Raw genomic sequence first — 12,341 nt, forward strand, 5'->3', positions numbered from 1 at the left:
GAAATAAAGCATTTTGTTTTCTTTTAAAGGTTTGTGCTTCTAGACTTGACCCAGATTATTTTATTTCATCCGTCTTTGAAAGGTAGGCATAATTTTATTAAGACAGGTATTAGGAAGTGTCCAGTTAATTTTGTTTTAATTTATAAAAATATGTTTCAAATATTTCTTCTTGTAGATTTAAGGTAGTGGATTTGTTGACAATGGCATCACAACATCAAAATACAGTACTTGATGCAGAGCATGAGAGGTCGATGTTAGAAGGCGCTCTTACATTTCTTGTGATTCTTTTGAGTCTTCGTTTACATTTAGGTAAAACTCACTGATACTAATACTTATGCATTAACTGTTTTCCTCCCTTTCTCCCCCTCCCTGTGGTAGTAACTGGCTTAGGGAAAAAAGGAAAGGATGTAGATAAATGTAAACAATGTTTCAAACTCTTGATATGTTGTACTGTAGGTATACCTTTTAGAATATCCTTTGCTTAAGGGAACTGCAAACAGCAGTTAAACTGCAGTTATGTTTGGAGCATAGCTTCTTTACTCTTTAATTTGAAGCATCTTATATTTGGTAAAACAGCTTAGTAAAAAGTGTGGTAAGTTTTTTTCTTTATAATTTATGTATACTCAGATTTGTTAATTCCGTTTTTAATAATTTTAGGAATGTCTGATGATGAGATTCTCAGGGCCGAGATGGTAGCCCAGCTGTGTATGAATGACAGGACACACAGTTCATTGCTGGACCTCATATCCTTTTAAAATTTTACTTTCTGTTAGTTGCAGGATCTAAAATAAGTATTTTTTATGATTAATAGTTTATCAATTTTTTGATTAATTTTTTTTCAAAGTTGAAAAATAATATAGAAAAAGAAGAACACCAGTTGTGTGCTCAAGTATGTATTCAAGCCTGGTGACTGTTTTTTTTTTTTTTTAACCTCCTGTTATTACCTCTTGGGGAACTCTTCTTAGACTTTAGGGTAGATTTCAGGACTGAATGATGGCTTTGGCCACCCCAGCATTTAACCTCCTAGTGGACAGCATTACTGAACGTTTTATAAAAGGCAGCTAGGTCCATTTTGTCTGTGTAGCCAGGATGCAATTCATGGTTAACAGTTAAAGGTATACCTTACGATTATTATTACCAGGATTTTAAACATTTTGAGGGTTTTTCTGTAGAATTTGGTCTTAAAGGATTTTTGAATTTATAGATTTTTGTGTACAAACAGGGAACCTGTGGTTCTTTGTATAGGACTGAACATACAATGAGAATCTGATTATCTTTTTAAGTTAATGTTAATAAAATTTTACACAAAGATTATCAAGTAATTTTGTGATAAAAATTCTGGCCGAATTTAGTATTTGTATATCTTATGACTATGTTTGGAAGAATTGGCTAAACTTTTTATTTTGTGAAATAAGTCCTATTAGAATGCCTGTTTGACAACCTTGATTTTTGTAAGCAGCCTCAATTTGATACTGTCTGATGATTTCCTTCAGTCATTATGAACTATGTGTCAGTGCTATTATAGAGTAAAAACGATCTCTGTGTCTTTCAATTTTAAAGATTTATGTGCTTTAATGTGAGGAGAGAATCTTTTTGGTTTGCCTCTTTGCTTATATTTGCTTAGTATTTTTTTCTTTGGGGATGAAATTTTGTGTTTTTGGAAAAACAATCTTTGCTCATAAAAATCTTGGCTAATTTTTCACAAGTTCTTTCTGTTTTTTAAGGAAAAGTTATTTACAAAATGGTAAAAATGAAGACACATTTTTAAAAGTTTTTCTATCGTTTTCTGAAATTTGATAAATTTATTTCGGGGAAAATATACCTGGGAACTACTGCAGCATACAATTTATTAGTAGGCTCCTAGATTAAACATATTTTCAAAAATCACAATTAAAAACAGTTATTATTGATCTGTTGTATTATATAGCCCTCTTGTGGCCAGCTTTGTATATTACAACCAATTACTATTTGTCTACTTCAGCAAAATGAGAAACTAGAGTACCTTGGAAAGGCTATAAATCTGGCTTTTTGTTACTAATATTTTTTTCTTGACATATATATCATATTCCAGAAAATCCTAATCCCAAAAGTGGCATTATTCCAGGCAGTTACAGCTTTGAATCAGTTTTATCAGCTGTAGCTGATTTTAAGGCTCCTGTTTTTGAACCTGGAGGTTCTATGCAACAAGGCATGTATACTCCCAAAGGTATGTTTATATACATAAATGGACTCTTTCAAATATCAGTTCTTGAATGGTGAATTCTTCTGTGTATTAAAAGAAAATGTTTACCTTTTATTCGTTCAAGCTTTGGTTTTCTTTTCTCCATTTTGTTATAAATGTATGTCTTTATTGGTAAACAGTGATACTGCTTTCAATTACTTAGAAATCTATAGCTTTATGTTACACTAAGACTTCTTAGATGACTCTAAACTATAAAGGAAATTTATATTTGAACTCTAATTCATTTTTATAAGTGATCATAACCATAAATGAACCAGAAACTATAAAACAAAATGTATATTAAAAAATATTTTGAATGTATTTACTCTCCAAATTTGATTTTGAAACAGCAAAAGAATCCTCACGACCCAAATTTTAACTTGAAATAGTTCAAATTAAAGTCTGTATAGGCCGGGTGTGGTGGCTTATGCCTGTAATCCCAGCACTTTGGGAGGCCGAGGTGGCTGGATCACCTGAGGTCAGGAGTTCGAGACCATCCTGGCCAACATGATGAAACCCGTCTCTATTAAAAATGCAAAAAAATTAGTCAGGCATGGTGGCAGGTGCCTGTAATCCCAGCTACTCGGGAGGCTGAGGCAGGAGAATCACTTGAACCCAGGAGGTGGAGGTTATAGTGAGACCCTATCGTGGCCACTGCACTCCAGCCTAGGCAACAAGAGTGAAACTCCATCTCAAAAAAAAAAAGTCCACATAGAATGCTGATAGCACTTACTTACATTTTGAACCTATGTTAAATGCACAGAACGTTTTCCTTAAGTGGATGATTGGTTTTGGAAGGTTTCTCCCGCATAGATTCATAGTTGACATCCTTGACAGCAGCCAGAAGTAAGTGAGGTTTTGATTTACACAGTCTTTTTTTGTTTGACTTTCATATTTTCACTTCTCTAAGTGAAAATTTTGAAGGAAGTAGCAGTTACGTGCTTCTTGACTCCCTCAACACGTTGTCTAAATGAAAAACCAATGCCCATTTTGAAGTTGTAAATAATATACACTGTACTGTGTGTGTTTGGCAAAGCAGAACAGAAAAGCCTTATTTGGGATTTTTCAGGGAGTTCACAAGGAGCAAGAAAATCCAGTCTCTGGTTGGAAAGTATTCCATTAAAAGAAAAGCACAGTATTTTTTTAGTGTAGAGGATATTTTGTGTGTAAAATTAGATGAATTTGGGAGTGGAGTGGTGCTGTGGTGTAGTGCAGTGCTTATAAAAGTGTGATGTGACGATTACATCTCTGTCAGACTCACTTGCGCTCCTCATTAAGAATGCAGGCCCCTGTGTCTCACCTCCTATCTGCTATCATCAGAATCTCTGTGGGTGAAATCTGGGAATCTGCTTTTTAAAACAAGCTGTTTAGATGACTGTTCTGAACAATGCTGAGATGGAATACTGGGCATTCGGAGATTAGAGCAAGGAAATTGAGTGTCATATTTAAATACCATATGAATTATATTTGCTAGTTGTGTGGTTTAGGAAATTAGTTGTTTTTTTTTTTGTTATTTTTTTGGAGACAGAGCCTCACTTTGTCGCTCAGGCTGGAGTGCAGTGGCGCCATCATAGCTCACTGCACCCTTGACCTACTGGGCTCAAGTGGTCCTGCCACCTCAGCTTCCCCAGTAGCTGGGACCATAGACACCCACCACCATGCTGGCTAATTTTCATGTGTTTTGTAGAGACAGGGCCTTGCTGTGTTGCCCAGGCTGGTCTCGACTGTTGGGCTTAAGCAATCCTCCTGCCTCAGCCTCCTAAAGTGCTGGGATTGCAGGTGTGAACCGCCATGCCTAGCCAGTTTTTTTATCTTTGGATTTGGCTTCTTATCTGTAAAATAAGTTTTTAAACTTTTAAAAGTGGTTGAAACAAGCCTCTGGTTTCGGGGACTAAGCCTTAAGTGAATTTGTCATATTAATATAAAACCAACAAAAGCTGGCTTACTCCTGTTAAAGTGGGTGTGGGTAGTGAACCTAGCTTCTTCTCTGTCCTGCTATCTACTTGCTCCTAAAGTGGCCCCTGTTATACATCTGTGGTAATTCAGCTCCATGGAACACTGTTTGAAGCCCACTGGACTAATTAATCACTGAAGTTTTCTTCCATTGCTAAGGTTGTGCAATTCTGATAAAAGCTTTGGCATGTTAATTATGCAAAATAATAGACTTTAAAGAGAAGGACGATCAAGGCCGGGCGCAGTGGCTCACGCCTGTAATCCCAGCACTTTGGGAGGCCAAGGTGGGTGGATCACGAGGTCAGGAGATTGAGACCATCCTGGCTAACATGGTGAAACCCTGTCTCTACTAAAAATACAAAAAATTAGCCGGGCTTGGTGGCGGGCACCTGTAGTCCCAGCAACTCAGGAGGCTGAGGCAGGAGAATGGCGTGAACCTGGGAGGCGGAGCTTGCAGTGAGCCGAGATCGCGCCACTGTACTCCAGCCTGGGTGACAGAGCGAGAATCTGTCTTAAAAAAAAAAAAAAAAAAAAAAAGGACGATAAATGATTCTAGAAATACTAATAAAGATCTTTGTGAAGGACTGTCTTCAGAATTTTAAGTCATACTTCTGATACTTTAAGATGAATAGCTTGTTACATGAAACTAGGGACAGTGGTTAACAATGGTTAACAGTGTCTTGTGCTAGAAGGTTGTAATTATAGTGGATGGTTAGGGAGAAGCTTAAGCTTCTTACCATGTTTTCAAATGTTAAGAATTTTGCTAGAGAGAATGAGAGAAAAAAATCTATTAAGGAGATACTCTTAAGGCGGTGGTTTCTAAAATTATTATCTCAGTTTATCCTTTAGATTTTTGCCACATCTAAATAGCCTCTCTACTGAAATATACTTAGTATTTCACTATTTTTTAAAATGAGTTAACTTAAAAAAAACCTTGCCTCTTCCTAAGCGTGATTATTAGTGAGGTGTCATGAATTTTATTTGCAAGTTACAATTTTCTAATATACATTATACACATTAAAAATAATTACATAATTATTAAAATGAAAAGCTTTATATACTTAATACTTAAAATCATCTTGTGAACCATCAGTTGTACACATTCCACACACAAGATAGTGGTTCCTAATTATGCAGAAGGTAAGAAGACAAATTATCAGTTTTAGCAAAGGAGCAGAAAATCTTTTATAAACAAAAAAGACTTATAAAGTGGGTCTCTTCAAAATCAATAGCTCATTAATTTTTTTTTTTTTTTCTTGGAGACTGAGTCTCACTCTGTTGCCCAGGCTGGTGTGCAGTGGCGTGATCTTGGCTCACTGCAACCTTCGCCTCCTGGGTTCAAGTGTTTCTCCTGCCTCAGCCACCCGAGTAGCTGGGATTACAGGTGTGCGCCACCACGCCTGGTTAATTTTTGTATTTTTAGTAGAGACGGGGTTTCACCATGATGGCCAGGCTTGTCTCAAACTACTGACCTCAAGTGATCTGCCCACCTCAGCTGCCCAAAGTGCTGGGATTACAGGCATGAGCCACCGTGTCCAGCCTCATTAATCTTTAAATCTAGTTTTCATGTTTTTACTTTTAAGTACTTTTTTTGTTTAATACTTTTTTTGGGAAATGAGGTCTGTCTTTGTTGCCTGGGCTGGTCTCAAACTCCTGGGTTCAGGTGAGCCTCCTGCCTAAGCCTCCCAAGTAGTTGGGACTAGAGGTGTAAGGCATCATGCCCTGCTTAACTTTAAATACTCTCAGAGATCCTAACCTGCTGTGTTTCTTTCTAATTGGCACCTTACAAACAACAACAACAACAATGAAGTAAACTTTTCTGGTGAGGCATTGTTGTATTACAAAACTTTTGTTCTTTAGTGCTTGCTGAACTCAAGAGAACATTCCTGATGATGAAATTGTGATTTTTGACTTAGAAAAGTAATCATGGCATCAAGCTTCTTAAGGCAAATACTATAATCAGATTAAATTGTTCTGTGTTTTAAATGTAAAATATACTTAACAAATGTAATAAGTCAATAAATATTGATTTTATTTCTGAGAAGTCAATGTTTCTACTTTCTTTTGAATAATAGCTGAAGTCTGGGATCAAGAGTTTGACCCCGTCATGGTCATTCTTCGAACAGTTTACCGTAGAGATGTGCAGTCTGCAATGGACAGATATACTGCATTGTAAGTCCATCAAATTGATTAGCATCATAACAGTATTTTATATTTATATGGAAAAATTTCAGTGATAACACAGATATGATATGCTCTCATTAAAGTATACTTTCATTCTTTAAAGGTGAAAATAATAATTTAAGGTTTAAAAAATAATCTGGTGGAGATTTATGTTAAGATCTTTATCCAAAATTTGATGTTAATCTGATAAATTTAGAACATGATCACTAAATTAAAAAACAGAAACTTATTTAGTTGCTGTTCCATCAGTGGAATTAAAGGCTTGGTTTTGTGTTGTTCTACTTTTGAACCAGTAGGGGAGGCACAAGTTAAGAGAATAGAATTCTCTGACATCAGAGATGGTGACGGGTGTCTGTAATAAGTGAACATATTTCTGTGTTCATGACAACTGGGAAAATAGCCAAAGCAAAATTAATTTTACTTGTAAATATTTAACAAAATAGTTTACGGTATTGATGACTGCAGAAGACAAAAATTTTGAAAGATATCTTTTAAATGCAGAATTCAATTTTGTATGTTATTGTAAATTGTAGACCATTGTAAATGTATTATTTCACCTCTTTTTAAACCTTAATAGTTAATATTATATTGCCAAATATCACAAGATATCATCTTTTACTTGTGCTTTCCTACAGCTAAAGTTAAACATTTAAAAAGCAAGTTTAAATGATGCAAATGTCCTTGATTTTGAGAAAGTATTAGTACTTATCCAGATAACTATCAAAGTGAAACTTCTCTTTTGCCAAGACTTTGCAGTAATAGAAATATCTATCACAGACAAATATCTGAAGAAAATTTTTAATGTGGAATTTTAATTCACTTCCTCCCCCAAACAAAACCAAAACGATCTTTAAATCAATAACAACAACAACAACAACAACAACAACCCAGTTCAGCCATCGGCATCTCTCTCTCCGTTTCTCTAAACCCTTGGAGAAATTAGACTGAGGTTCTCTTTCTCTGGTTTCTTAACTCCCTCTTTTTCTGCTTTTCATATAGTTTTGTAAAAATGTACTTGCTTGTAGTCTTTTACTTAACTCTTAGCTCCTTGAGGGAATATATTTTTATCTCTGTATCTCGTCTACATCTTTAATACTTATCTCAATTCTGGCACTTAGTAGGTATTCATAATATATTTGTTGAATAAATAAATTTGAGTAATTCCTGTTGAAAAATTGAAAAATGAAGAAAATTGGGAAGAAGCATTTGCATGGAAAACCTTATTGAGACTTCATAAACACCAGTCTTAAATGGCTCTGCCTTTTTTTCAGGGTAGTGATGATGGTTAGTTGTTTTGAATGTATAAGAATTAAGTAAATTTTATTCTCTTTTACTTTGTAGTTACTAGAAATTTGTACTGAGATTGGGCTGAAACTTTCAAAGCTTTGAAGGAATCATTAAATAATGTAATCAATTTTAAATGGGAAATTTTATTTAACAGTACATATTTATTGAATGCTCTGCCTCGGCCTCCCAAAGTGTTGGGATTACACACATGAGCCACCGTGCCTGGCCGATTTGTTTGCTATTGATCATTTTCATCTGCTTTTTAATTTTAAGGGACAAAAAGTGGCTTAACTGATTATACTGGGAGGGATCTTTTCTTATTTGTAAGCAGGCCTTTTGGAGGTCATCTTGCAAACTAAAATGAAAAATGGTCAGATAAATTTAAACTTTTGTGTTCTCACAATTTAGCTCTGTGCCAGGCACTTTAAAGGCAATCAGTAAATATTTGTTAAACGAATGAAAAGTAGATTTCTTTCAGTTTTTGTGCTGAGAGTTTAAGTGAAAGTAAGCCGTTTGCTTTATGTGATGCTTAGATGCTTAGAATTTTAGGCTCTTATTGCTGGAAAAGGCCTTTAAGATCTAGTCCAGGTTTTATAAAAGCGTCTTGTGGGCCATCACTGGAAGACAGAGTTGGGCAACAGCAAGAAGAGGCTTAAGCGAGTGAAAGTGGCTCATCCTGCTTCCCTCACTCCCTTCCAAATACCCCTGAGTGGGCATTCAACTCTTAAAAAGAAAACAAAAACAATACAACAACAACAAAGCAAACCAGCAGTTGGAAAACCATCCATTCATTTCAGTGTTATATTTTATATATGAAGACATTGTGGCTCAGAAAAGCTCAGTGAAAATATGTCTGTTTTTTGTTTGTTTGTTTTTGAGACAAGGTCTCACTTTGTCACCCAGGCTGGAGTGCAGTGGCGTGATCATAGCCCACTGCAGCCTCCAACTTCTGGACTCAAGTGATCTTCCCATCTTACCCCCCTGAGTAGCTAGGACTACAGGTGCACACCACCATGCCTGGCTAATTGTTTAAAAGTGTTTTGTAGAGGTGGGTTCTTGCTATATTGCGCAGGCTGGTGTTGAACTCTTAGTCTCAAGTGATCTTCCTGTCTCAGCCGCCCATAGTGCTAGGATTATAGATGTGAGCCATTGTGCCCAGTGAAATATGTCTGACAGTGGCAGTGTTGTTAGAACTATGAGCTAGGCCATTTCCAAAGATAGAAATGATTTCATAAAGCATCTGTTTTAAATTCAACTGTAAAGTACATTTTTTAAAATATGTAATTTCTTATATTTCTGTTGCCTCCTGTCTCCCATCTTGAAGGTTAATGGCTGCTGCCCCATGTTTGAAAGTATGATGTATGAGTTTATATATATCATTTTTGTCTCAAACTAGTCAATAATTACGTGTTGGTTTGAGTCACTTAAATAATTTTTTTCTGTCATGTAGCATTTCATTTGCATTATTCTATTAATGCTTTTGAAAAGAGCAGTCAAAATGATGTATTACTTGGGCCTTCAACAAATATATAACCTTTATTTTGGAACAATTTATTAATCTAGGTGCCACATATTTAGTGGCTACTGCTTAAAGCAAACAAAGAAATGAAGTAAAATTAAAAATTGCTTTTTTTATGCTAAATGAAATAGAATAGTTGAAATATTTCATCATGACTATTGGGATCATTTTGAAAATTACATTTATATGTTGTCACTGTAGTATTATATACAAACCAATTTATTTATTTTTTATTTATTTTTATTTTTTTGAGATGGAGTTTCACTTTTGTTGCCCAGGCTGGAGTACAATGGCATGATCTCGGCTCACCGCAACCTCTGCCTCCCGGATTCAAGCGATACATCCGCCTCAGCCTCCCTAGTAGCTGGGATTACAGGCATGCGCTACCATGCCCGGCTAATTTTGTATTTTCAGTAGAGATGGGGTTTCTCCATGTTGGTCAGTCTGGTCTCGAACTCCCGACCTCAGGTGATCCGCCCACCTTGGCCTCCCAAAGTGCTGGGATTACAGGCGTGAACCACCGTGCCTGGCCCAGAAACCAATTTTTTTAAATGCAAAGTTAATTTTATAGCATCTTCATAATCATAGGTACAGCATATTTCTCTGATATATTAATGATAGTTTTCTTATTTTGAAGATTTTTTTTCTTCATTCTATGTAGTATTTGTTTCCTCTAAGATGCGTTTTCTTTTTATTATTATTATTATTATTATACTTTAAGTTCTAGGGTACATGTGCACAATGTGCAGGTTTCTTACATATGTATACATGTGCCACATTGGTGTGCTGCACCCATTAACTCGTCATTTACATTAGGTATATCTCCTAATGCTATCCCTCCCCACTCCCCCCACCCCACAACAGGGCCCGGTGTGTGATGTTCCCCTTCCTGTGTCCAAGTGTTTTCATTGTTCAATTCCCACCTATGAGTGAGAACATGCGGTGTTTGGTTTTCTGTCCTTGCGACAGTTTGGTCAGAATGATGGTTTCCAGCTTCATCCATGTCCGTACAAAGGACATGAACTCATCCTTTTTTATGGCTGCATAGGATTCCACGGTGTATATGTGCCACATTTTCTTAATCCAGTCTATCATTGTTGGACATTTGGGTTGGTTCCAAGTCTTTGCTATTGTGAATGGTGCTGCAATAAACATACATGTGCATGTGTCTTTATAGCAGCATGATTTATAACCCTTTGGGTATATACCCAGTAATAGGATGGCTGGGTCAAATGGTATTTCTAGTTCTAGATCCTTGAGGAATCACCACACTGACTTCCACAATGGTTGAACTAGTTAGTGTAAAAGTGTTCCTACTTCTCCACATCCTCTCCAGCACCTGTTGTTTCCTGACTTTTTAATGATCGCCATTCTAACTGGTGTGAGATGGTATCTAATTGTGGTTTTGATTTGCATTTCTCTGATGGCCAGTGATGATGAGCATTTTTTCATATGTCTGTTGGCTGCATAAATGTCTTCTTTTGAGAAGTGTCTGTTCGTATCCTTCGCCCACTTTTTGATGGGGTTGTTTGATTTTTCCTTGTAAATTTGTTTAAGTTCTTTGTAGATTCTGGATATTAGCCCTTTGTCAGATGAGTAGATTGCAAAAATTTTCTCCCATTCTGTAAGTTGCCTGTTCACTCTGATGGTAGTTTCTTTTGCAGTGCAGAAACTCTTTAGTTTGATTAGATCCCATTTGTCAATTTTGGCTTTTGTTGCCATTGCTTTTGGTGTTTTAGACATGAAGTTCTTGCCCATGCCTGTGTCCGGAATGGTATTGCCCAGGTTTTCCTCTAGGGTTTTTATGGTTTTAGGTCTGACATTTAAGTCTTTAATCCATCTAAGATGCATTTTCTATTGTTCAGTCTCTAGCTTTCAAGTTAGAGGCATTCCCCAGATGTCTGACAATGTTGACTGCTTGTTATTAAGAGTTCTTGAGTGCATTGGTGGAACTAGTAGATTCTGAATTTTAATATAGGGTGATTTGGGTAGGCAGGTTGGTTGAGAAGCACTTGTGTTAGATCTTTCTTTTTGGCCTGGTCAGATTCCTCAGGGAAGTATCCTCAGATATTGCCCAGAAGGAAATGGTATTGGTGCTATTATTCTGTAAACGGATTGAGAGACAAGGCCTAGGGACTCTGAGTCAAATACTTATATGATGATTTTAATCTCTCATCCTCATATCCTCAATTGTACTTGCTATTTGATCCTCCCCAGAGATGAGTTCTGTAGCCAAAATTCTGTTTCAGTGGTGGAAAGGCAGTTTTCATCCGATCCTCCTTATTTTAGCCCCTTGCCTTCCCACCTCCATTTATAAAGGTATCAGGTGCTGCCAATTTTGTTGCTCATTTTTTAATTGCACTTTTTATTATTGAGTTTTAAGACCTCTTCATATATTCTGAATACTAGACTTATCAGTTATATGATTTGCAAATATTTTCTTTCTCCTTTTTTTTTTTTTTTGAGACACTGTCACTCTGTTGCCCAGGCTGGTGGCATGATCACAGTTCTCTGCAGCCTTGGGCCTTCCCAGGCTCATGTGGTCCTGATTGGCTTCCCGAGTAGCTGGGACTACAGACATACGCCATCACACATGGCTAATTTTTGAATTTTTTGTAGAGATGGGGTCTCTACATGTGTTGCCCAGGCTGGTTTGATCTCTGCAGCTTAAGTGATCTGCCTGCCTCAGCCTCCCAAAGTGTTAGGATAACAGGCATGAGCCATTGTGCCCGGTCTGTAAATGTTTTCTGTCATTCTGTGGATTGTCTTTTTCACTTACTTGAAAGTGTTCTTTGGGTCACAAATGTTTTAAATTTTGATGAATTCCAATTTTTTTCTTTAATTTTCCTGTTTGTTGCCTAAATTAATTTAATTTTCCTTCTGTTGCCTAAATCAAGGTCACAGATACCTAAACCTATGTTTTTCCCCAAGAGTTTTATGCCTAAAAATATAAAACTAAAGCTGAAGCTTTTACATCAAATTCTCTGGTCGATTTTGAGTTAGTTTTTATGTATGCTGTGAGGTAGTGGTCCAACTTAATTCTTATTCATGTGGTGTTCCTTTGAGTTTTAATAGACCTTGCCTGTTCAACAACCTGGGCCTCATACATCTTTTTTTGTGGATAACTTAAAACTACACATTCACTTTCTTTAAAGGTTTTAGGCTTGCTTAGGTTAT

At 36.4% G+C, this 12,341-nt stretch overlaps 1 protein-coding gene across 1 annotated transcript in view; it reads left to right on the forward strand.

The window, feature by feature from the left end:
* Window positions 1-12,341, forward strand: part of UBR3 (ubiquitin protein ligase E3 component n-recognin 3) — a 256,678-nt gene that overhangs the window by 99,209 nt on the left and 145,128 nt on the right. The window contains exons 15-19 of the mRNA NM_172070.4: window positions 30-82; window positions 176-309; window positions 658-743; window positions 2,065-2,206; window positions 6,250-6,346. Coding sequence (NP_742067.3) covers window positions 30-82; window positions 176-309; window positions 658-743; window positions 2,065-2,206; window positions 6,250-6,346 — 512 coding nt within the window. The remainder of the gene's footprint in view (window positions 1-29; window positions 83-175; window positions 310-657; window positions 744-2,064; window positions 2,207-6,249; window positions 6,347-12,341) is intronic.

This window comes from Homo sapiens, chromosome 2 (assembly GCF_000001405.40).
Source record: "Homo sapiens chromosome 2, GRCh38.p14 Primary Assembly".
NCBI lineage: Eukaryota > Metazoa > Chordata > Mammalia > Primates > Hominidae > Homo > Homo sapiens.